Source organism: Homo sapiens, chromosome 1 (genome assembly GCF_000001405.40).
Source record: "Homo sapiens chromosome 1, GRCh38.p14 Primary Assembly".
NCBI classification, from domain to species: Eukaryota; Metazoa; Chordata; class Mammalia; order Primates; family Hominidae; genus Homo; species Homo sapiens.
In genome coordinates this window covers 223,762,141-223,787,263 of record NC_000001.11, presented here as the reverse complement: position 1 = coordinate 223,787,263, position 25,123 = coordinate 223,762,141, and the positions used below count along the sequence as shown (strand labels likewise).

The 25,123-nt window shown below is 43.5% G+C and overlaps 2 protein-coding genes and 1 long non-coding RNA gene across 8 annotated transcripts in view, besides 1 other annotated feature; 2 read left to right on the top strand and 1 right to left on the bottom strand.

Annotated features, from left to right (window-relative positions):
* Positions 1-7,371, top strand: part of TP53BP2 (tumor protein p53 binding protein 2) — a 66,055-nt gene extending 58,684 nt beyond the window's left edge. For all 5 annotated transcript variants that reach the window (XM_011544268.3, NM_001031685.3, NM_005426.3 and 2 more), the window contains 2 exons: positions 2,950-3,149; positions 6,370-7,371. In XM_011544268.3, the coding sequence (XP_011542570.1) occupies positions 2,950-3,149; positions 6,370-6,411 (242 nt within the window). In that variant the 3' untranslated portion in view covers positions 6,412-7,371. The remainder of the gene's footprint in view (positions 1-2,949; positions 3,150-6,369) is intronic.
* Positions 11,246-25,123, bottom strand: part of CAPN2 (calpain 2) — a 74,422-nt gene continuing 60,544 nt past the window's right edge. For both annotated transcript variants that reach the window (NM_001146068.2, NM_001748.5), the window contains exons 14-21: positions 25,013-25,078; positions 23,057-23,114; positions 20,833-20,897; positions 17,355-17,423; positions 16,739-16,817; positions 15,339-15,455; positions 15,025-15,083; positions 11,246-12,430 (exon numbers count right to left, since the gene is read on the bottom strand). In NM_001146068.2, the coding sequence (NP_001139540.1) occupies positions 12,407-12,430; positions 15,025-15,083; positions 15,339-15,455; positions 16,739-16,817; positions 17,355-17,423; positions 20,833-20,897; positions 23,057-23,114; positions 25,013-25,078 (537 nt within the window). In that variant the 3' untranslated portion in view covers positions 11,246-12,406. The remainder of the gene's footprint in view (positions 12,431-15,024; positions 15,084-15,338; positions 15,456-16,738; positions 16,818-17,354; positions 17,424-20,832; positions 20,898-23,056; positions 23,115-25,012; positions 25,079-25,123) is intronic.
* On the top strand, positions 12,430-14,553 carry LOC105373041 (uncharacterized). The gene is made up of 2 exons (XR_949167.3): positions 12,430-12,996; positions 14,178-14,553. It is a non-coding gene; the product is annotated as an uncharacterized LOC105373041 (long non-coding RNA).
* Positions 14,364-15,019: an enhancer, noted in NCBI's record as "H3K27ac hESC enhancer chr1:223959947-223960602 (GRCh37/hg19 assembly coordinates)". NCBI's record gives its function as "activates a minimal SCP1, AML or CMV promoter by ChIP-STARR-seq in primed H9 embryonic stem cells {active_cell/tissue: H9 hESC(primed)}" and the evidence as "EXISTENCE:reporter gene assay evidence [ECO:0000049][PMID:30033119]".

Below are 25,123 nucleotides of genomic sequence, written 5' to 3'. Positions count from 1 at the left end.
CCACCTTGGCCTTCCAAAGTGCTGAAGTTATGGGCGTTAATATAATGTGTTAACCGGTATAATGTGTTGGCCGGGTGTGGTGGCTCATGCCTGTAATCCCAACACTTTGGGAGGCCGAGGCAGGTGGATCTCTTGAGGTCAGAAGTTCGAGACCAGCCTGGCCAACATGGTGAAACTCCATCTGTACTAAAAATACAAAAATTAGCCAGCTGTGGTGGCGGGCACCTGTAATCCCAGCTACTTGGGAGGCCGAGGCAGGAGAACTGTTTGAACCCGGAGGCGGAGGTTGCAGTGAGCTGAGACCATGCCATTGCACTCCAGCCTGGGCAACAAGAGTGAAACTTTGTCTCACAAAAAAAGCCGGGCGCGGTGGCTCACGCCTATAATCCCAGCACTTTGGGAGGCCGACGTGGGCAGATCACGAGGTCAGGAGATCGAGACCATTCTGGCTAACATGGTGAAACTCCGTCTCTACTAAAAATACAAAAAATTAGACAGGCGTGGTGGTGGGCGCCTGTAGTCCCAGCTATTCGGGAGGCCGAGGCAGGAGAATGGCGTGAACCCCGGAGGAGGAACTTGCAGTGAGCTGAGATCACGCCACTGCACTCCAGCCTGGGCAACAGAGCGAGACTCCATCTCGGGGGAAAAAAAAATATACACACACACACACACACACACACACGCACACACGCACACACACACATATATATAATGTGTTAATATGTGTTTTGCTGTATTAATTTTATTGACCATCTGACCTATATTTAGATATGGAATATGATTTTTTTAAACATTAGGGATATTTGGTCAGATTCTTAAAATTTATGAAGTATATCATAGATACCAGGATGTGCTGTTTAAGTAATAATGATAGTAGATTACACACAGTGAGTAATTGTGTACCCACCTTAGGAGACAGAACATAACCACTGTCCCTGACATTGTTTGGATGCCCCTCCCTGATGTGGCCCCTTCTCACGTCTGTAGTGACCGCCGCTTTTACGTTTAGCATTCCTTGTTTTGTAAAATAATTACATCATTTGTATATGAGTCCTATAACTAATATCTGCAGTTTTGCTTGTTTTTGCCCTTTATATAAAATCATACTGGTGATTCTGTGGCCTGCTTTTCTCATTCAACATGGTTTTTGAGATTCACTCGTGTTGCCTGTAGCTGTAGTTTATTTTCACTGCACAGTTTATCTTTTTATTCTGCTTTCGAAGGACATGTGTGCTGTTTCCCTCCTTCCCTCCTTCCCTCCCTCCTTCCTTTCCTTCCACTGTAAACATCCCTGTGAACATTTTGGTACTTGTCTTCTGGTGTTTATCTACAAGTGGACTTGCCAGGTCACAGTGATACACATCTAGCAGAGGGTTCCTTTTACTCCACGTTCTCTTTGACTCTTGGTGGATTTGGAATGATACCTCGTAGCTTTCGTTTGCATTTCCCAAGTTACCGGTAAGATTGAGCATGTTTTTAGTCCCCTCAAAAAATTTTTTAAAAAGTAATCTACAACTCTTAATCTGATAAATAGCAAAGTAATGAGAATTTTTCTCCATTCCTAATGATTTATTGGAGGCTGGGTGCAGTGGCTCATGCCTGTAATCCCAGCACTTTGGAGGCTGAAGTGGGAGGATCTCCTGAGCCCAGGAATTCTATACCAGCCTGGGCAAGACCCTGGTCCCTAATTTATTGCAAACTGGGACTTGAGCTGTTATTTTGAGTATACTAAAATATCCAGAATCTCCTACGTCTTTCTTCATTCCCATCTCAGACACTGTGGCCATTTTAAAAACTTTGTGAAATTACAGTTATATAAAGTTTGATCACCATGTGAGTCTGTCATGCTTTGCATGTCATCTTTAAACAAGAAAAGTTGGAAATTGTCTCTTTAGATTGGCAGAGCCTTCTTCTAGAAAAGAAGAATTTCTTGTTTCAGTTTTTCCCAGAGTGAGAGAAATATACTGTGTGCTATATCATTAGTTGATACAGGAATAATTTCATAATCAATAGTGTAGTGCTCACATAAGTTGAAAAAGCTAACTATTCAAAAGCTAGCAAGTATTTTCCTGGTTTTTAAAAAATTATAAAAGTGAAAATAATAATTCTGAATTGCTGAGAACTTTATTACCTTATTTTCCTTCTCCTCTGCTTTTTTCCTATTGCCTGCCAGTTGATGATTGTTATTTCTTACTAGCATTGCCCTTTAGGATAGGAAGGTATAAGTGAAGAAGGGCAAAACTTAAATGTGTAGTTAATTTGCAAATCTGTTACTAACTCTGGTGAAAGGTGGACTTCTGAGGATTTTTCCCTTCCTAGTTTGAGGATTTCGACATCTTTTAAGATTCGGATTCTTACTATATTAGAGTTGATTATATGAAGACTTTGATCATGTCTAAAATGCCATATTTTTGCATTCTAACATATTCTATATATATTTTTTCCTCTGTCTTTCCCCATTCGGAAATTCATAGAGACCATTGTGCCTCCATCTTTTTTTCTCTGTCTGCTCTGAATTTTGGGTAAAGAATGAAGTAATGTTTCTAGAGTTCCTTAGTCATTACATTTGGGAGTAGGCTGAAATTGGACAGGCATATCGTTCACTTTTTTAATATCCTAGACTTGAACAGTTCTTTTTTTAGTTCCTAAGCTTGCAAAAGTTTTGTACTCTGAGTAGCTCCTTTAAGAGATGCTTATAAAGTGCTAGGTTTTAGAGGTGTTTTAGAGATGATAGCATATAGTAATGTGTCCTTTGTATGTTCCCAATACACTGTTGCCTTCCACTGCATGCTACCCCCCACCTCAGGACATTTTATTGTATATTTAATGTAGTACTAACATTCCAGCCTGTACCTGTTTCTTCCCATTTTGTTTCATATAGCTAAAAGTTGTAGAGTGGTATACTCCAAGTTGTATATTCTGTGCTTTATCTTACTGTCATGATTTTAGGAGTTCAGGAGAAGATGGGCATAATGAATAAAGGAGTCATTTATGCGCTTTGGGATTATGAACCTCAGAATGATGATGAGCTGCCCATGAAAGAAGGAGACTGCATGACAATCATCCACAGGGAAGACGAAGATGAAATCGAATGGTGGTGGGCGCGCCTTAATGATAAGGAGGGATATGTTCCACGTAACTTGCTGGGAGTAAGTTATTCTGACGCTTACGGTGTTTTCATATGTGCCAGAGAGGGGCTTTGTAAAAACTGCTGTATGTTATGTGTACAGTGCACCAAACTGCCCTTTGTTAATAAGACATGGAATTTAAACATTTTGATAGTCTTAGACTTAAAGCCTCATTTTCAGTGATTCTTATTATGACCAATAACATCTGTTTGCCAGCCCTGGAGGTCAGGGGTCCTCCCTACATTTATAAACAGACTAAAGATAACTGGATAATATGATTGGAATTGAGCCTGTGACATCTGAAATCAATTTTTAATCTGTCTAAATCAGGATTTGCAAATCTGGTAGAGAGCTTCAGCAGGGCATTAAGGACAAGATTCTTTGTTTTTCTGTACTATTTGATTTATATTTCATAAAAAGCAAGAAAATAATATCATGCCAGCACGTATGTACCACTTCTATAGTGTAGTACAATGGGACTGCTGTCATCATGTAAAGATTCTCCTGGAGTATTTTCAGGGGAAGGCTGGCGTATGGTCAGACAGAGGAGAGAAAGCGAGAATAACAGATTCCAGGGCTTTGCAGTAAGCTCTTTATAGATTCAGCTGTTCTCTTATAGCAGTTGTGTGTGTGCAAGGGGCATGGAGGGTGTATGAAAGAGTGAGAGAAATGATCAGGGTAATCGAGAGATTGAGATAAAAGTTTAAAGTGCTTGCAGAATCTGCTGTTGGTGAGGAAGTAAGGAAAGGGTTGAGGAAGGGAAGAGCCAGTTGTGATACACAGAAGATGGTGTGTAGGTTGTGAGCACTGGCCTCTACGTTGCTTCAGCTCCATCTGCAGCACCTGTTATCTGGATATCCAGGCTGCAGAAGGAACGTGGGGAGGGCTGGAGAATCCTGCCTCCCAAGATTAGTGTGGGGATAACTCAGAGGTCTAATAGAGAGCAAATGGTAGATGTATTCTTGGTCTTTTCATCAAGTGTCGGATGGACATGGCCTCCACCCACATGGAGCTTCTACTCTGGCATCTAGGTGATGAACAGGATTCTGTCTGTGAGTGATCCACTGCCTAGGCATTACTTTCAATGGGATTACTTGAAATGACTTCAGTGTTGGGACCTGACTGCCTGGATTCTGACCAGCATCTCTCCCTGACTCTCCCTTCCACACTGTTGTTTGTCTAACGTGCAGTGTAAATGACTTATACACCTTGACTGCTGCTGTCCTGACAGCAAAATTTATTATGAAATAACCATTTCATAATAAGTTTTGAATAGATGATTAGACAGTATTCATTTGGGTGATCATAACGTAACTTTAAAGAATACTGAAAGTGAAAAACAAATACAATTAGACTATGCAGCCCTTAAAAAAAACTTTCAGGGGCCCGGCATAGTGGCTCACGCCTGTAATCCCAGCACTTTGGGAGGCCGAGGCAGGAGGATCACTTGAGGTCAGGAGTTTGAGACCAGCCTGGCCAACATGGTGAAACCCTGTCTCTACTAAAAATACTATAATCCCAGCTACTCGGGAGGTTGAGGCAGGAGAGTCGGTTGAGCCTGGGAGGCAGAGGTTGTGGTGAGCCGAGATCGTGCCACTGCACTCCAGCCTCGGTGACCCTGTCTTAAAAAAAAGCTTTCAGATGACCAGAGGAAAGTAGAAATATAAAGGCTGTTCTCTTTCAAGCACCCTCAGTTGCTTCTCCAGAGTCTCTAGCACTAGAGAAGTACAGTCTCTTGCCTACAGCCACTTTCCTTCTCTGATAAACATAAACATCAATGGTAAATAAGCCCTTTTGTATAGTTTCTTATCTGGGAAAGACTTTACCTCCTTAGAACTAGTTGCTTACTTGAGTCTTGTATTTTCTTTTTTTAAATTGGCAAAAATTGTGTATATTTATGGTGTATAACATGATTTGAAATATGTATACTTGTAAAATGGCTAAATTGAGCTAAATAATACATGCATCATCTCACATGGTCATCATTTTTTTGGTGAGAACATCTATTAGTGATTTTCAAGTATATAATACATTATTAATTATAGTCACCAAGTTGTACAGTAGATCTTTTGAATTATTTAAATTTTCTAACACAGGTCCTGTGGTTAATGACACGGGGAACATTGCATGTTTCCAAGTGCGGGAGCAGTGGGTCAGAGAGTGTTTTCTCTCGTGTGTGTGGCGCTTAGAAGATTCTGAAATTAACAGACTGGACTGAATATTTTCATTTTAGTCCTAAATTTAGATTTTCTTAGTACTTTGAAAATCTTTTCTTGTTAGAAGTATCCTCTACACCACTTTTTTGGTTTGTTTTCCTGATCTTTTTTTTTAAAGGAAAGTGCATATATGTAGTTAGGGCTCAGATAGCAGTCTAGAAAATTGTATTAGCTAAATGTCTTTTTTTCAGATAGAAAAGTAATATTTTCTGTAACATGGATCCACCAGTTTTTCAGTTTTAACTGGAAGTCTGACTCTTTTTAAAATTATTTATTATTTTTAAATTTTTTAATTGGGATGTAATTAAAGCCTATGCTTCTACTTTCTTTGAGTAATCCTTTTTCTTCCTCTTCTTTTGTCAAGAGGGGCTGCTTTTGTTTGGTGTGTCAGTTGAATTTATCAGTTTGACTTGGTCCTGGCTCAGGCCTAGAGGCCTTGCAACCTTCACTAGGACTCACCTTTACAGCTCTTGTGGAAACACAAAACCACAGAATTGTAAAGCAAAAAACTCCACCTAATCTTCCTTAAATTTATAGACTTTTAATCTGTGGCATTTCATTTCTGACAGTCTGAAGTCCCATGACACAATGTCATGTCCATTGTGAATAAAGGTAAAAGAATTCAGTCTCTTTCTTCCTTCCTAATAGAAGCTCCAAATGCTGGAGCATAGAGCATACAGCAGTTTGCCTTCCTTGTTAGAGCCGATTTACATAGAGCCGATTTACAGCTCAACAAGCTGTGCAGATTGAGTTAATACCTAGAACTGTCATGGGTTTTTATATTGCTGCTTTGTAGAGTTGTCACAGTTGACGGGCCCTTGTGATCTTTGAACGTCCTGCTGAGTCTAGCTATGACCACGTTGCTAAACGTAAAGCTCTAGGTGCCACACACACCACAAAGAGTGCTTTTCTCACTTTGATTTCCTTCCCATGACATCTGTCCCCTAACCTCATTATTTCTTGAAATTTTGTTATATTCCCACACATCTATTATAGTATGTAAAATTTTTTAAACTCTCTTGCAGCTGTACCCAAGAATTAAACCAAGACAAAGGAGCTTGGCCTGAAACTTCCACACAGAATTTTAGTCAATGAAGAATTAATCTCTGTTAAGAAGAAGTAATACGATTATTTTTGGCAAAAATTTCACAAGACTTATTTTAATGACAATGTAGCTTGAAAGCGATGAAGAATGTCTCTAGAAGAGAATGAAGGATTGAAGAATTCACCATTAGAGGACATTTAGCGTGATGAAATAAAGCATCTACGTCAGCAGGCCATACTGTGTTGGGGCAAAGGTGTCCCGTGTAGCACTCAGATAAGTATACAGCGACAATCCTGTTTTCTACAAGAATCCTGTCTAGTAAATAGGATCATTTATTGGGCAGTTGGGAAATCAGCTCTCTGTCCTGTTGAGTGTTTTCAGCAGCTGCTCCTAAACCAGTCCTCCTGCCAGAAAGGACCAGTGCCGTCACATCGCTGTCTCTGATTGTCCCCGGCACCAGCAGGCCCTTGGGGGGCTCACCTGAAGGCTCGAAGGCACTGCACACTTGTATATTGTCAGTGAAGAACTGTTAGTTGGTTGTCAGTGAACAATAACTTTATTATATGAGTTTTTGTAGCATCTTAAGAATTATACATATGTTTGAAATATTGAAACTAAGCTACGGTACCAGTAATTAGATGTAGAATCTTGTTTGTAGGCTGAATTTTAATCTGTATTTATTGTCTTTTGTATCTCAGAAATTAGAAACTTGCTACAGACTTACCCGTAATATTTGTCAAGATCATAGCTGACTTTAAAAACAGTTGTAATAAACTTTTTGATGCTAGCTGTTTACTGGTTTTTGTTTTTGATGTCATAAATAGACCTTGTTTAATAGTCACAAGCCGTTGGGATATCATACCCAGCTGAAAAAGAACAAACTGCTTAACATAAGTATATGTATCGTAATAAGAGTTTTTTACCAGCTAAGTGATTCAATGTAAGTGGTTTTTAAAATAAAATACTGTAGAGATCATGGTGATAGAAGCCTACTTTACATTTTACCTAGAGCCTCTAATAGACTGTTTTAGTGTCCTCATTGATTTATGGGGTGAAAACTTATATAGGCAAAATCTCCACATCATTTTATTAATATGTTAATAGGTTTGTGAATTGTTTCCAAACCCATTTGCTTAGTGGAACTACTTTAGTAGAAGATACAAATGAAAAACCATGGTCACTCTTCCTTACACATTTTTATGAGTAGCTAAATTCTAGCAAGGAAGGTAGATGAAAGAACATAATTTTGAGAATAACACTTTTGAGAGTAACGGAGAAGGAGTGACAACATAAACTAAACATCCGAAGACGTGTGGTAGGCAGAATTCTAAAGATGCCCTGCACCCCCATCCCTGTCTCCTGGTTATTCCTTGTATCACTAATGTAGGTACAATAAGTCCTTACTTAACATCATCATTAGGTTCTTGGAAACTGTGACTTTATTTTTCTTTTCTTTCCTTCCTTTTCTTTTTTTTTTGGGAGACAGGGTCTTGTCATGCTGCCCGGGCTGGTCTCTGATGCCTGGCCTCCAGTGGTCCTCCTACCTAGGCCTCCCAAAGCGTTGGGATTACAGGTGTGAGCCACTGCACCTGGCCAAAACTCAAAGTGAAAAGGTGTGTAACAAAACCATTTCTTTTTCTCATCAGTGTTCTAATGGTACAACATGAAGTGATGTTATTCGAGGACCTGCTGTTTCTGGTTGGTTGGTTTTACATCATTTTGCTCTAATTTGCAGTTACCAAGAACCTATCCGTGATGCTAGGTTTTGACGACTTACTGTACTGCTTTGAAGGACTTTTAAGATTTAAGTAAGTTTACGAATCAGTTGACCTTAAAATAGGGTGTTTAGCCTAGATTGTCCTGGTGGGCCACCGTAATCACAAGATCCCTTCACGGCAGGAGAGGAAGGCAGGAGGGCTGAGGCAGGAGGGTGGGCGGGGCAGGTGGGTGGGCAGTAAGACTTGGAGTGTGAAGACTTGACCTGCTGTCATTGGCTTTAAAGATGAAGAGGATCATGGAATGTGGGGGTCAGGGAACATGGAAGCTGAGAAAGACCCCCGGCTGGCCCATCCAGGAGATGGGGACTTCAGTCCTGATGGCCACATGGAACTGAACTCTGCTAACCTGAGTGGGCCTGGCTGGAAATGAATCCTCCCCAGGTCTCCAGAAGGAATGCATTAGTCCAATGAGACCAGCGTTGGACTTCTCATCTACAGAATTGTGAGATAATGGCTATTTTTTTAGGCCACTAAATTTGTCTTAATTTGTTACAACTACAGGAAACAACATGGATTCTAGTCCTGGGCTGTCGTACTTACCCATCAGGTGACCTTGCCAAGGACACCCGACCTCCCTGAGCCTTGTTCCCTCATCTGCGGAGTTTAATGCCATTGCCTTGGCATGCTTCCGAGTTGTTGAGGAAAACCTAAGTTCTGTGCATGAAGGTACTTGGCAAACTAAAGAATTACACAGATGTATGAACAGAGAAGATGTGAAAATTAGGGAACTGTGATCCCAGTTTTATATTCCTTAATTCTAAACTGAGAACATCATTGTTGTTAGTCTTTCTGTTCTTTAGTTTGTTTTATTATTAAAGTAAGTATCCTTATATCAAAGCTCCTTATAGAAATAGTACAGAAAAAGATTATGAAAGAGGGAGGGAAAAAGACCACTCTGGAGGTACCATTCACACTTGGGCCTATTTCTTTGTAGTCTTATCTATGATTTTTTTCTCTTTATATAGTTGAGAGCTTATTGTTTAAGCAATTCTGCATTCTCCTATATTATACTTGATATTGTATCATAAATATTAACATGAAAAAAATTTTTTTTTTGAGCCAGGGTCTCATTCTGTCACCTAGGCTGGAGTGTAGTGGCGCGATGTCAGCTCATGGCAACCTCCACCTCCTGGGTTCAAATGATTCTCATCTCAGCCTCCTGAGTAGCTGGGATTACAGGCCTGCGCCACCACACCCGGCTAATTTTTGTATTTTTATTAGAGACGGGGTTTTGCCATGTTGGCCAGGCTGGCCTTGAACTCCTGACCTCAAGTGATTCACTTGCCTCAGCCTCCCAAAGTGCTGGGATTACAGGTGTGAGCCACCATGCCTGGCCTATTAACATGAATTTTAATGGCTTCCTAATATTCCATCATGTCATTGAATCATTTGTCTAATGTTGAACAATTCTTGTGTATTGATGCTATAGTCATGTTTTTATGGTAGCACAGTTTTTAGGTCTTTACAGAATAAAAGGGAAGAAAGCAGGTGGGGAACAGACCATGCTAAAGGGGAGAGTATGCAAACCAGCTGTGCGCCTTCTAACGGCAGTGGAGCCACTGGGGATGTGGAGATTGTCACATGAATGGAGACGGAGTTAGCCAGAGAAGCAGACCTGAAGGAAACCAAAGGAATGTGGGTTCTCAGGAGAATCGTAAATGGTGTTAAAGGCAGCAGAAAGGTCCAGGGAGATAATGGCTGGTAGATGTTTATAGGATTTGGCATTAGGAGGTAACTGGTGATCATAAAAAGCAGCAGCAAAGAGAGGTAGGTGACTAGCCAGACTGTAGTGGGTGGAAAATGAATTGAGATCCAGTGTGGACAGCTTCTCCGGAAGCAGAAGCTTGGCTCTGGAGGAAGGAGAGGCCGCAGCAGGGGAGGTAAGAGTATTGAGTATACTTTAGGATGTGGTAGGTATTTATATATGTTTACATGCTGTGAGGGAAGAGCTGTGGAAAGAAAAACAGGAGAGGGGAAGAGAGAGAGAGAGAGGAGTTAATTGATAGAGGGCTGACTGACTGATGGGCCTGAGACTGCAATTCAGAGCAGAGACCCAGGAGGGAAGAAGTAGTGAGGGTTGGTGGCGGCGGGGGGGCGGGGGGTGGTGAGTTCGTACAGGCTCAGAAAGTTGAGCTTTACTTTGCTTATCATCTATTTGCGTATCTATCTATTTTTGCCCGCTGTAAAACAGGCATTAGCAAACGTTACACTAGATGGGAAAACTCAGGATGCTTGGTAATCTCTATTCCCTTTTCTTGTTCAGTCTTTTCTAAATTTGCTCTGATAAGCATATACCTTATTTATTTAATGTTATCTCAGAGACTAGGTCAGTCCCACAGATGAAAGTGCACCAGGAGATGCAGGGCCGTCAGCACAGTAGTCCAGGTTTGGAATGGCCTCTGCGGATGGGAGGGGCCTCCTTCCTGCTCCACTGTGTACCTCGTCTCTGGAGACCACTCTCTTCCTCAGAATCGAAAGCTGATCCCTCCTGCCTTTCACTCCCACCCCCTCCCAGCCTGGACCCTGGGGTCCTGTGTTGCAACCACTTCAGTCCCCACTGTCCATTCCCTTGTCCCCTGATCCTTCAGCTACCCTTCCCTTGCCCACCTCCAATCTTGAGTCAGTCCAAACATCTCCCACATCTTTCCTGCCACCTGTGCAGCTGGACAGAGAAATCACCGATGCGAGGAGGTTGGGACTCCTGCACTCTCATGGCCACCAGCCTCCCCTTTGCCCTCAAAATCCACTCAGCAAGCAAGAGAACTTCAACTCATTTGAGCCGAGTTTGGGAAATCCATTGTCTCACCTTGTTCAGGAAATATTAGGATGGCATTTGCCTATCATCTCAAGTCATCTTGAGGAAATGATTCATCAAGAACCACAAGCACCAGACCAGTGACTTCATCTGCATGTTTTCTCAGCTCCCTTGCTTGTACCTACCCCAGGAGGAGCTGGCCAAGGTCGAGCAGGGAACTTCCTGAGAGGCACATACGTCTCTGTGCTGCCTAACAGCAGATCAGCAAGCAGTAGAAATTAGAGCTTCCCTTATGTTATGGTCAGATTATCAAAGTTTCTGAATTGGATTTTAAAAAATTTTATAGTTCCACATTTTAATTATAGGCAAGGTGTCTTTTCCTTTGAATACATGAATTTACAGAGGCAGCATACCTTGTTAAAGTAGAAACAAGCTATAATTGTGTGCTCATAAACCGTCCTGTGGGGCTGCCCTCCAGGAAGGAAAACATGGCATGGTGTGATTGCATGGGGTAACCCTTTATTTTTATTTAACAGTACATTTGGAAGAAGATAAGGCAACAAGGCAAAATTTCTATAATGTTGCTAGCATTTTCCCAAGGTAAAGCCAGGAAACAAACTTGTGTCCTTTCTATAAGAACTTCTAAGTGATGTCCCCTCTAACTCCATGGACAGACACTAGTGGTGGTGAAGTTCATAAAGTTTTGAGGTGGCAAACAGCTTATTTTGTCCTTTATCATAATTGGTTTACAAATTGGATGCCTGGTTTTGGCATACTGGTTCAGTTGATCAAGCGCAGGATCCCTTTGGTCTTTGTAAGACCAGATGTATAAGGCCGAATAGGGTCAAGAACTTGATTGTAAGGAGAACGATTTACTATTACCAATCAATATTCTACAAAACCTGTCTCTTGTTTAACCCAAGCGACAGAGGTGAGTCTTCTCTCCTGGACTCTCCAGATGCCTTGACAAGATTACTTCATGATATACCATGTTTCCCAGTTGGCTCATGGGAAATGGTAATCTTGGACTGTTGTTTGGTAGAATCAACAGCTGCATTTTAAACTTGAAGTTGCTTTAAATATTCCCTGCCAAGGGCCTCGTGTCCTTTGAGAGCGACTCAATGTTTTTGCTCAGCTGTTAAATACCTCCCTGCATTTTTTTTTCCTGATTTAATATTGCTATGAACAGGAAAGTGTGTAAAAGTAAAAAGTGTATACTATTTACAGATTTAAAGCTTTCTTTGACCTTGTCAAGGGTTAAGCGACTCATTTGCATTTAGTATAATGATATGCAAATCTTTTACTTTGATGTGTGAAACTTCTGCTATCTCAAATTGACAGTATCATTATTTTCAGCTATGATCATCCGTTTAAGTAAATGTTCCCATAATTTTGAGGTCCAGATACAAAGTGTATTTCTATGGAAGCTTAGTCCTTGGCTGATTTTCCATCATGAGAAGTCTTCAGGCAGATTAGTTATAACTTCAAAGTACTGAGAAACAGAGCCACTGTGAGGAAGGAAAAAAAAAAGTCAGCTCAGTGACCACTTTTAAAATTAAAGGCTATTTAAGTACCTGTAGATTGTTCCAAAAAACTTGTACTGGAAAAGCTGATTGAGGGCTACAATATCAGTGCACTAACTCATATTTTTCTTACCTGATTTCTAGAGTCTAGCTTTTAACAGGTCAGTAGTCTGTGTGATTTGCATTAAGTGGCCATGAATCATATTACAGGGTTGATTGCACACATGAAAAGTGAAATTCACACAACAGAAATTAGCATTTTCACATCTCTGCCTCAGAGTATCACATCAGAAGTTAGTTTGGGATGTGGATATCCCTGCAACCAATGGTGTTCAGCATTGGTTCTAAGTTGTAGTGATACGGAAACTTTAAATCAGATTGATTCAACTGGTCTGGGATACAGACAGGACACCAGCACTTTGGCAAAGCTCCCCATGTGATGGAATCTGCAGCCAAGGTTGAAATCCCTGCAGACTGAACGGAGAGCTTCTGAACATGGCTCATCCTTGCAAAGACTACGAGAAGCGAGGATCTCCAGGAACCTGCAAAAGGTAAGGCTTAGGAGTGGCAGGAAAAGCCAGTGGGTAAGAAGATGCTTCTCGGAGGAGATGCGGAGGGAGTGGACTGAGCAGGCAGGCCAGGTGGACCCTGGAGTGGGGGTGGGTGGCTGGGGTAGAATAGGATATCCAGCAAGAATGACAGGCTAGGATTTCCAGAACTTAACATGTGGCATGTTTCGTGTCACAGTTGTGTTGACTCTACTATTTATTTCATTTTAAATTTTTTGAGACAGGGCCTTGCTCTGTCACCCAAGATGGAATGTAGTGGGGAGATCATGGCTCACTGCGGCCTTGACTTCTGGGCTCAGGTGTTCCTCCCACCTTAGCCTCCTGGGTAGCTGGGTCTACAGGCACGCACCACCATGCCTGGCTCATTTTTTTATTTTTTATTTATTTTTTTCTGAGACAGGGTTTTGCTCTTGTTGCCTAGGCTGGAGTGCAGTGGCACCATCTCAGTTCACTGCAACCTCTACCTCCTAGGTTCATGTGATTCTCCTGCCTCAGCCTCCAGAGTAACGTATTTACAGGCACCTGCCACCACGCCCAGCTAATTTTTTTTTTAGATGCAGTTTTGCTCTTGTTGCCCAGGCTGGATGGAGTACAATGGTGCAATCTCAGCTCGCCGCAACCTCCGCCTCCCGGGTTCAAGCAATCCTTTCGCTTCAGCCTCCCGAGTAGCTGGGATTAACAGGCATGTGTCACCACGCCTGGCTAATTTTGTATTTTTAGTAGAGATGGGGTTTCTCCATGTTACTCAGGCTGGTCTCGAACTCCCAACCTCAGGTGATTCGCCCGCCTTGGCCTCCCAAAGTGCTAGGATTATAGATGTGAGCCACCGCGCCCAGCCCTAATTTTTGTATTTTCAGTAGAGACGCGGTTTCACCATGTTGGCCAGGCTGGTCTTGAGCTCCTGACCTCAGGTGATCCACCTGCCTTGGCCTCCCAAAGTGATGGGATTACAGGCATGAACCACTGCGGCCAGCCTAATTTTTTATTTTTTTAGAGATGGGGTTGACTCTACATTGCAATCTAGGGGTAGAGATATTTCCTAGGATATGTAAAGTTTTAAGCAAGTTAGTGTTATTTGTAACCAGATAGACTATATTTTCACTTTGCTAATACAATGCATAATAGCAGAATGAGACAGTTATTTAGTTGCTGCCTTCCTCCAGAGTTCAAAATCCATGGAAAAGAGCTGCCAGTGCCTTAGACCTGCCCTCCTCACCACTTCACTCCTCTGTTACACGGACAGGACTGACAACTGCCATTCTCACCCAGTGTCAGCCACTTCGCCCGGCCCTCTGTGGCCTTCCCTGAGTATAGAGGAAATGCTGACTGGAGCCAGGTGATAATGGAAGTATACCCCACCTGGCTTCTTTCTTTCAGTGAGAGAACTTCCTGTCATTGGGATGACACGAGAACATTTTACGCTTTGCTTTTTGTGAAATTAGCATACCCACTTAATTCAGATTGATGATCATTTCAGAGATGTGTATTGCTAGGGTTCCAGACACATGAGTGCAATAACAATAATAAATGGCAAACGTATTTACTAGTATTGGTTTTATCTTAAACGGGGAGGGAGTAGAGAAAACTAATTTGCTTAAAGTATTTTAAGTAGATCCACTCTAAGAATGATGGATCTTCCCAAAACCCAACTTGAATTTCAGCTGAAGGATTTCTTTATATAAACATGTTCTCCCTTGCATGCTAATCAGGAGTTCATTTTTCTAAGCATGATCCTGCAGCCACTCCTTAGTTTAACCTTGAGCTACACTCAAGTCAAAGCTCATGAGAAGAGGGAGCCAGGCGTGCATTTTGGACTTGAGAATAGGTGGTTGGAAAACAACTGCAAGTAAAAGTGCATTGTGGGATCTTACAACCGGTTACAGGCCTGGCCCCGACAGACCAAGAGCTCTTTAAAGCAAAACTTGAAAAAGCAGATCACTCAAGTAACAGCCCTTTCCGCCCCATGCCTCCCCCATCCCCTTAGAAGCAAGGCGGGGCCTGCTGACTCACAGAGATAAGGTCGAGCTCTATTGTTCCAGTATTCTCGGGATCCAGCTGCTTAAATATCTCTGTGGAGGGAGAAAAAGAGGGTGTCACAAGTGAGTGAGCTGAAACAGATCACATTATCCTCTTTTCAGTTCAGCAACTGACTTCACTGACCACCATACATGCTTTCTTCCTCACCCTCAAATTAGTAAAGAGGGAATTTCATTCTCAACTCCTGGAAGACATGTCTCTAGTTTAGATGATTTCACCGAGGTGAAAGGCAGGCCACTTTAATACCAAGAGAACTGAAATGAGTCATTCCCCAAATATCCACTTACTGAATAGCGTTTCCAGCCGAACCAAACACCGAACAAAATTATCAAAATCGATGATGAGCTGGTCATCTGCAAACCGAGCAACGATGACTTGGTGGAGTTGACAGGGCATCTTGAAACCTGAAGTTACATGAACAAACAAACTCATTGCTAAGCATTAGATTGTTCCATTTAGCTGCGCTCACAGGCTATGAAACTAATGTGGTGATTTAAATGAGGTATAATTGCTTTTGTCCCTTGGCTGCTCTTCTGTGAGACTGGTTTGATTTTGCAAAGCCAGTACCTTCTGCTGTTTCTTTTGTTTTTGAACTGTCCACCTTCACCCTGCCTGTGTCCTTTGCTGACACATAAGTGTTTTCTTGCCTGTTTCTGTTCTCATGGTCACAGTTGCTTCATGTTGTTAACCATGCTGCTGCTGTTTGATTTTTTGTTTAGCTCTCAATCGTCTTGAAGATCAGATTCTTCCTGGATATATGTGAGCAGAAGCTTTCCTGGTAAACTCATAGTAGTTCTCTCTCCTTCCAGAGTAAAATAATTTTTATTGAGCCTATGGCCACCTAGCATCAAGACTGCATGTCCCAGCTTCCTTGCAGTCAACAGAGGCCTTGTGATCAGAGTCTGGCTGGTGGGATGTGTGACCGGAAATGGCCTGTGTGCCCTTAAAGGCAAGGGGCCCTTCTTCTGTCAACCTGTTGGTGGCATGTGTTTGTGGTGGCAGGCTGTCCCAGGTCCCTTGGATGAGGGTGACCCTTGAAGGTCCGGTGGGCATCATGGATGGGGGGAGGCTGGGGGAAGCGTGATCAGATAGTGACATGGTAGGATAGTAGGAGGCACCGTCCTAGCCGTGGACTGCTGGAGCTGGGATTGCTATACGACAGAAAGACATACCTCGTATAAACCAATGTTGTGTGGGGTCTCTGCAGCAGCATTATATTCCAGCAAATAGAATGAACAGCCTCATGCTGACACATTTGTTCCCAAAGCCCAGCAGTCTCCTGCTTTGCTGGTCTACCACTCGCTTGTGTCCTTTTATTGATATCCAATTCTGCTAGGGTCTTACCCTAAGGGCTGAGCTGAGACATTTGATTTCTGCCTAACCAACCCTGCACCAGAAAGGAAGCACCTGGAGGAGGCTGTTGAGACCTGGCTTTGCCTGCTTACTGTGCCAGGCGGCTCCAAAGGAAACTTGGATTCAAGAAGGCACAGAGGGCAGAGCATCCTACTGCATTTAATTTTACCAATTAGTCTTTGAAAGGGGAATGAAAAGGAGGTGTCTGTATTAAACCAGCACCTACTTTATTTTATAGCTTTACCAAATCTTGTGTTATATGGTATAAGATGAGTGTTCACATATTCTACAGACAGATTAAACTAGGAACGAAAATGCAGTTATAAAGGGTTACCTGCTTCTTCTAATGCCTTCCGCATTTCATAGGAATTCATGGTACCAGACCTGTCAACGTCGATTTCTCGGTAAATTTTCTGGAACACATAAGTTAGCTGTAAGAACTATGACCCAAAGCAAAGCTGGCAAGTTACCTCCCTAGTATGTGCTGAGTGGGGATGAAGTTTTTCCAGCTCTGTGCCTCTAGTTTGGCCGTGGAAGAATCACTTATGTTTCTGCCTTAAATAACTAATAGTATTTTGCTTCTGTCTGTGAGCTGGTTTGTAAATATGCCCATCAAATCAGCCAGCCAACGCCCATAGGTCCATGTTCTTGTCTTATATAATTTTTGTACTTTAGCTGTCAAAAACCCTTTTCAGGAAACCCTTGATGGTGGCCTTTAGATGATCCCAATAATCAGGAGGAAGGGAATAGGCCATTTCACCTGCGAAGTCCTGGTTGGTTTTTTGTTTGCATTTCCTCAGCCCCATCTTTACTCACTCTGAGCTTCATTATGGGTAAAATCCCAATCCCCTTGGAAATGTTTCTCCACTCTGTGCAGGAGTTGCTGCATCTTAAAGCATATGAACAGAATGTTTCCCAACACAGATCCACCCGCATCTCTGGGATCTTACTTGGTATTTTTGAATCTTCGTCCAGAGAATGTAGAACTCCTTCAGCCCCAGCTTGCCACTCCCGTCCGACTGCCTTCAGTCAAGGAAAGCCCTTGAGTGTGGGTCCATTTGCACATAGTGTCACCTAGTTTGTCTTCTCAACTGGATCTTTTGAATATCATAGCATATACACAAGGAGGGTTTGCAGAAGGATCCTTTTCCTGCTTTTCCCACTGGCTAAACCTCCATTTAAAGGATTGGAGGAAGGGCGAGAAAGACCTGCTGGCTCCCTGCCGAATCTGGTTGCTGTTTTGATCTAGGGGTGCTGTGGAGGCCCCAGATACTACTAAAAATGAGGTATTGGATGACATGCAGAGGGCTTTGGATGGCTTCTAGTGGCTAGGCCCTTGCTGTTTTTTTTAAAGTATGTGGAGTATATCTAAGAGGCCTTTGGTGAAGGGAGCTAGCAGGTGTACACCATGAATCCACTAGATAAAACTTCACAGAAGTGGCCAGGCATGGTGGCTCACACCTCTAATCCCAGCACTTTGGGAGGCCAAGGTGGGCAGATCACCTGTGGTCAGGAATTCGACACCAGCCTGGCCAACACGGTGAAACCCTGTCTCTACTAAAAATAGAAAAATCAGCTGGGCATGGTGGCGCGCACCTGTAGTCCTAGCTACTAGGGAGGCTGGAGGGGGGAGAATCACCTGAACCTGGGAGGCGGAGGTTCGAGTGAGCTGAGATCATGCCACTGCCCTCCAGCCTGGGTGACACAGTGAGACCCCGTCTCAAAAAACCAACCAACCAACTAAACAAACAAACAGAAAAAACTTCACAGAAGCTTAGGCTGCCCCTTACCACCACTTCTCACTAAGCATTGGAAACAAGGGGGAAATGGATGACTAGTTTGCCTTGGGGAAAGGTGGGTGGCCTGGGAAGGAGCTAGAGCAAAAGGGAAGTAGGATCCTCATGAAAGTAGCCCTTATCTAAATCAAGAAGACGATCTTATCCAACTTACAAGGGATGTGAAGGACCTCTTCAAGGAGAACTACAAACCACTGCTCAAGGAAATAAAAGAGGATACAAACAAATGGAAGAACATTCCATGCTCATGGGTAGGAAGAATCAATATTGTGAAAATGGCCATACTGCCCAAGGTAATTTACAGATTCAATGCCATCCCCATCAAGCTACCAATGACTTTCTTCACAGAATTGGAAAAAACTACTTTAAAGTTCATATGGAACCAAAAAAGAGCCCGCATCGCCAAGTCAATCCTGAGCCAAAAGAACAAAGCTGGAGGCATCACACTACCTGACTTCAAACTATACTACAAGGCTACAGTAACCAAAACAGCATGGTACTGGTACCAAAACAGATATAGATCAATGGAACAGAACAGAGCCCTCAGAAATAACGCCGTATCTACAACTATCTGATCTTTGATAAACCTGAGAAAAACAAGCAATGGGGAAAGGATTCCCTATTTAATAAATGGTGCTGGGAAAACTGGCTAGCCATATGTAGAAAGCTGAAACTGGATCCCTTCCTTACACCTTATACAAAAATCAATTCAAGATGGATTAAAGACTTAAACGTTAGACCTAAAACCATCAAAACCCTAGAAGAAAACCTAGGCATTACCATTCAGGACATAGGCATGGGCAAGGACTTCATGTCTAAAACACCAAAAGCAATGGCAACAAAAGCCAAAATTGACAAATGGGATCTAATTAAACTAAAGAGCTTCTGCACAGCAAAAGAAACTACCATCAGAGTGAACAGGCAACCTACAAAATGGGAGAAAATTTTCGCAACCTGCTTATCTGACAAAGGGCTAATATCCAGAATCTACAATGAACTCCAACAAATTTACAAGAAAAAAACAAACAACCCCATCAAAAAGTGGGCAAAGGACATGAACAGACACTTCTCAAAAGAAGACATTTATGCAGCCAAAAAACACATGAAAAAATGCTCACCATCACTGGCCATCAGAGAAATGCAAATCAAAACCATAATGAGATACCATCTCACACCAGTTAGAATGGCAATCATTAAAAAGTCAGGAAACAACAGGTGCTGGAGAGGATGTGGAGAAATAGGAACACTTTTACACTGTTGGTGGGACTGTAAACTAGTTCAACCATTGTGGAAGTCAGTGTGGCGATTCCTCAGGGATCTAGAACTAGAAATATCATTTGACCCAGCCATCCCATTACTGGGTATATACCCAAAGGACTATAAATCATGCTGCTATAAAGACACATGCACACGTATGTTTATTGCGGCATTATTCACAATAGCAAAGACTTGGAACCAACCCAAATGTCCAACAACGATAGACTGGATTAAGAAAATGTGGCTCATATACACCATGGAATACTATGCAGCCATAAAAAATGATGAGTTCATGTCCTTTGTAGGGACATGGATGAAATTGGAAATCATCATTCTCAGTAAACTATCGCAAGAACAAAAAACCAAACACCGCATATTCTCACTCATAGGTGGGAATTGAACAATGAGAACACATGGACACAGGAAGGGGAACATCACACTCTGGGGACTGTTGTGGGGTGGGGGGAGGGGGGAGGGATGGCATTGGGAGATATACCTAATGCTAGATGACGAGTTAGTGGGTGCAAAGCACCAGCATGGCACATGTATACATATGTAACTAACCTGCACATTGTGCACATGTACCCTAAAACTTAAAGTATAATAATAAAAAATAAATAAATAAATAAATAAAGAAGACGACGATCTTGATCAGACAAAACAGATTCACATCAGAAATACTGTGGTTAGGGAATATTTTCCTAGAGGAAGTAATGGAAACACATCACTGAGGAAACAAATTCGAGCTGCTTTGTGCAAAGAAGTGATGGGCATATTGTCAGGAATTTCCCGCACCAGCCCCAGGAATGGACTGGTGGGCCTACATTCTTTTTCTTTTTTTTTTTTTGGCGATGAGTCACGCTCTGTCACCCAGGCTGGAGTGCAGTGGCGCGATCTCAGCTCACTGCAACCTCCGCCTCCCAGGTTCAAGTGATTCTCCTGCCTCAGCCTCCTGAGTAGCTGGGATTACAGGTGCCCGCCACCACACCCAGCTAATTTTTGTATTTTTAGTAGAGACAAGGTTTCACCATGTTGGTCAGGCTGGTCTCGAACTCCTGACCTCGTGAGTCAGGAGGCCCACCTTGGCCTTCCAAAGTGCTGGGATTACAGGCATGAGCCACCGCCCGCCATGGGCCTGCATTCTAAGCCTTTCAGGGTAGGTGGGAGGGGGGGTGTAGCATTTGCTTTCCCTCATCAGAGGGTTCTCGCATTTCCCTAGTAAGGGAGGTCAGCGCTGCTGACTGTCCGACAGCAACTCAGCAAGTTGGGAACAACTGGCTATTTTGAAAAGGGAGAAGGCCATGTGTTTGAATCTTTCTGGAGTGAGATTTTAAACTCCCCCAGTCTCTATTCCCTGGAGCACATTAAAGGATACATCTAGCATGTCAACCATAATTTTGCATGTCTCGATGCTGAAGCCATCTGACTTGATATCTTGGCCTAAAAGACAAAATCAGTGTGACAGGAAAAATCTCTGAGCGGTGATGTCCAACTGAACTTTCCACAATCATGGAGATATTCTTTATCTGTGCCCTTCACATACAGAAGCCACTTCCATTATATTAAATAGCCACATGTGGCTAGTGACTACCAGACTGGGACAGTGCAGATGATGTCCACATTGTCCTGATGTCTCTGTATATTTGCCGTGGGCAAACAGGGCTTTAAAAAGTGCTTTTTGAACAAATAAATAACAGAATGATCAATGGTTGGGCCTTAGGTGCCCACAGGATATAAAGTCACCTGTAGTTGTTGGGCAGGGAAAAAGAAAACAGAGAGCAGGTGTGTTAATTCTAGGCTATGACCCGTGAGAGAAAGAGGTTTACTTGAACTGTCCATCTGCAGACATTTATGGACTGTGTCCCCAGCTGACTGAGAAACCTGAGGAACTGGGATCGATCCACGAGCTATTTGTGCTGCACTAAGTGAGTCCTGTCCACTTGGTGTTTGGCAGGTGGCATGAGACCCTCCCTAGTCACCAATGTGAACCTGGCTCCCCACAGACTTCACGAAAAGCCCAGCCTTTTTGTTATGTCCCCGAAAGAGGTTAGAGCCTGACCTGCCTCAAAGCTGCCACTCTGGGCACCAACCCCTTAGATGGTCATAAGGCTCTGGCCCAGCAGCTGTGCATGCAGACTCTGGTGTGGAGCCCTCCAGAAGGCTGGAGTCAGCAGGCAGCTAGGGGTAGGGTAGTAAGCTCAGAGGCACGCGCGGAGCGAATGCTGCTCCCCCAGCAAGGAGCGGGCTGAATCCAGGCAAGGCCCGCTTCTTCCCCACCTCCCAGCCCCACCCTCCATCTGTGCAGAAACAATGAGGCTTTAGTCTCCTCAGCTCATGAGGACTGCATATCTGAAGAGCTCTGTGACCTCACTTGTGCCTGGTGGCCTCCAGGGTAAACACAATCTTCTTGCCTTCCCTGAAAATTAGAGGAGGGCGGGTGCAGACTGGGTCTCCTCTGGGGAGGCCCTGCACTGGACTGACCGTAACCTGACTGGCCCAGCCCTCTTGGTTCACACTGGGAGGGAAGACCCAGCTGGCCCTGGACTCTTCTTTGGCTCTGAAAGGCAGATTTATTTTATCTCATGGAGTTAGGCTAGAGGCCATCTTGTCAGAGGGAATGATGTCCCTTGAAGTCCATGAGGCTTCTCGAGATGATCCCTAGGGCTGGTATGCAGCAAACAACCATGACTGCATTTGTCTCTGATGCAGATTCCTAACTTCTGATATGTTCAAAACTCTGCTTCCTGGATTGCCAGTTGCTCTCTTAACAAATGCAGCGTGATTCTTTTGATAATTTGAGGGGAAAAAATGTCTCTGTGTTGTGTTTCCCGCTCCTCCCTGCTGGTGATCCACAGTAAGGGGTTGAACAATCAATCCTCTGACATTTTTTTGCTTAAGAAATAGTTAGTTACAAGATGTGGCCGGGCACGGTGGCTCACACCTGTAATCCCAGCACTTTGGGAGGCCGAGGTGGGCAGATCACTTGAGGCCAGGGGTTCAAGACCAGCCTGGCCAACATGGAGAAACCCCATCTCTAGGAAAATACAAAAATTAGCTGGATGTGGTAGTGCATGCCTGTAATCCCAGCATTTTGGGAGGCCAAGGCAGGTGGATCACTTGAGGTCAGGAGTTCAAGACCAGCCTGGCCAATATGGTGAAACCCTGTCTTTACTAAAAATACAAAAGTCAGCTGGCTGTGGTGGCACTTGCCTGTGATTCCAGCTACTTGGGAGGCTGAGGCAGGAGAATCGCTTGAATTTGGGAGGTAGAGATTGCAGTGAGCTGAGATTGTGCCACTTTACTCCAGCCTGGGCGACAGAGTGAGACTCTGTCTCAAAAATAAAATAAAATAAATTAAAAAAATAGATCACACAAAGCTAGTATGTAGTGGAAACCTGGATTTGATCTTTGATCTGTGGATGCTACAAACACTTGTTCTTTTTCATCACATCATACAAATCCTTCATCCACTTCTTGGAGGGGATGGAGGGTGGTGGTTTAGTCACAGCAGCCAGACATGGAGGGGGAAAGATTTCCATGTTCCCTCCCATCCACAGGGGAAAGAGCAGGATGAGGTTTTGCAATGAGGGGATACTCACGCTTTGCTAGAACCCTTCTCAGGATGGTCTGCAGCTCAAAGGCAGAGATCTCCGCATCCTGTGGACACATAACCAGAGCATAGTTATTGGCCCCCCGTGGGAGCTGGATGAGCACAGGGCAGGACACCAGTGCATTAGGTAGGCCTGCGGTGGGGCCTATGAATGTGCATTTCTAACAAGCCCCCGAGCCATGTTGGGGCTGCTGTCCCCAGACCACACTTTGAGTAGTACTGCCCCATTCTGGATTTTAGATACAGTGTTTTTGGTTTGGTTCTTTTTAGAACACCCAGGCTGGGCTGGACTGCAGTGGAATGATCCTAGCTCACTGAAACCTCAAACTCCTAGGCTCAAACGATCCTCCAGCCTCAGCCTCCCAAAGTGCTGGGATTACAGGTGTGAGCCACTGTGCCCAGCCTAGATACGGTGTTTTAATGTACGGATGCAGTAGGGAGAGTTCACTCACCATTTCTTTGCTGTAGAGAATATAAATAATAAATACTCCCCTCTACCCATGTTTGTGGTCTTTCTTAATTCTCTTATACCATTCCTCTTATCTGGCATGTTTTCTTCATTCTTTAAAACTCAAAGCTCAGACTTCCTGTAAAACTGGTGAAAACCAGCTGTCTCCAAGACCTAGCCGGCCCTCCTCTATGCCCATCATGCCAGGGCCCCTCATGGGCTCAGATGTCTCTATCCACTTACACATATTTGTGTAACTCATGGATAAACTCCTTTGTTTAAAACCAAGATTGATTGCAGTCATGTTTGCCTTTTGGGGTGTGTATGTGTGGGATTCAATCAGAGGGGAAAGAAGACTCTCATGGCCCCTTTCCTTGGGAATCTGGGAGGGAGCAGAGGGTGAGAGGCCGGTGGAGGCGCAGAGCAGACGATGCCTGGCTTAGTACTTTGATGGGTCTTTAGGTCAGCGAAGGGAGTACCAGATGAGCTCAATGATTGGAAAGTTCCTCCACATAGTGAAGAAAGAGGACTTTTTTTTTTTTTTTGGAGTTGTTGGGAAGAAAGAGGGCTAAATAACTTTGTGATGGGACTAAATGGCTGAGGGATTTTTTTAAGAACAGGGAAGTGGCCAGGTATGGTGGCTCACACCCGTAATTCCAGCACTTTGGGAGGCTGAGGTGGGAGGACTGCTTGAGCTCAGGGGTTTAAGACCAGCCTGGACAACAAAGTGAGACCCTGTCTCTAAAAAAAATTTAAAAATTAGCTGGGCATGGTGGTATGCATCTGTAATCCCAACACTTTGGCAGACCAAGGTTGGAGGATTGTTGAGCCCAGGAGTTCCAGAGCAGCCTGGGCAACATGGCAAAACTCCATCTCTACAAAAATAAAAATAAAATAAAAATTAGCTAGACATGGTGGTGTGCACCTATAGTCCCAGCTACTTGGGAGACTAAGGTGGCAAGATCTCTTGAGCCCAGGAAGTGGAGGCTGCAGTGAGCTATGATCATGCCACTGCACTCCAGCCTGGGTGACAGAGAGAGACCCTGTCTCTAAAAAGAAAAAAAGAAAAAAGAAAAGAGAACAGAAAAGCCTAATTCAAACACTCTGTTGCAGGTGGCCTGCATTCTTGAGACTTGAAACCCTTCCATCTCTCCAAATCCTTTGTGGAAATCAAGGATAAGGGGCCAAGTTTCATGCCTCAATTGGTGTAGAACAGAGAAAATAAAACAGTCACAAGGTGAGCCCAGGAATCCTAAGGAAGGAGGAACACAGAGTCAGGGCTGACCATGCAAATGGAAGCCCCCGGCAGCATGCGGAGGTCTTAGGGAGGACACACGCAAGAGGGCTGAGCTGGAACCCAAGTGCCATTTGCAATTTCTCTTTGCTTTTGTTCAGTTTGTTTCCTCTCCCCTTTAAACTAAAGTCCCCTTGGGGACACACACTGTCTCTTCCTTTGCATCAACCAGAGTGCATAACATCGTTTTTGGGAACATTTACCTCTCCTGCCAACTGGGCAAACAGTCTCCTGAATCCATCATCAATGTCATCCTCGCTGATGTCGAACTGGAAGGTGAGGCAGAGACATGAGAATGCATCAGAGCGAGGCAT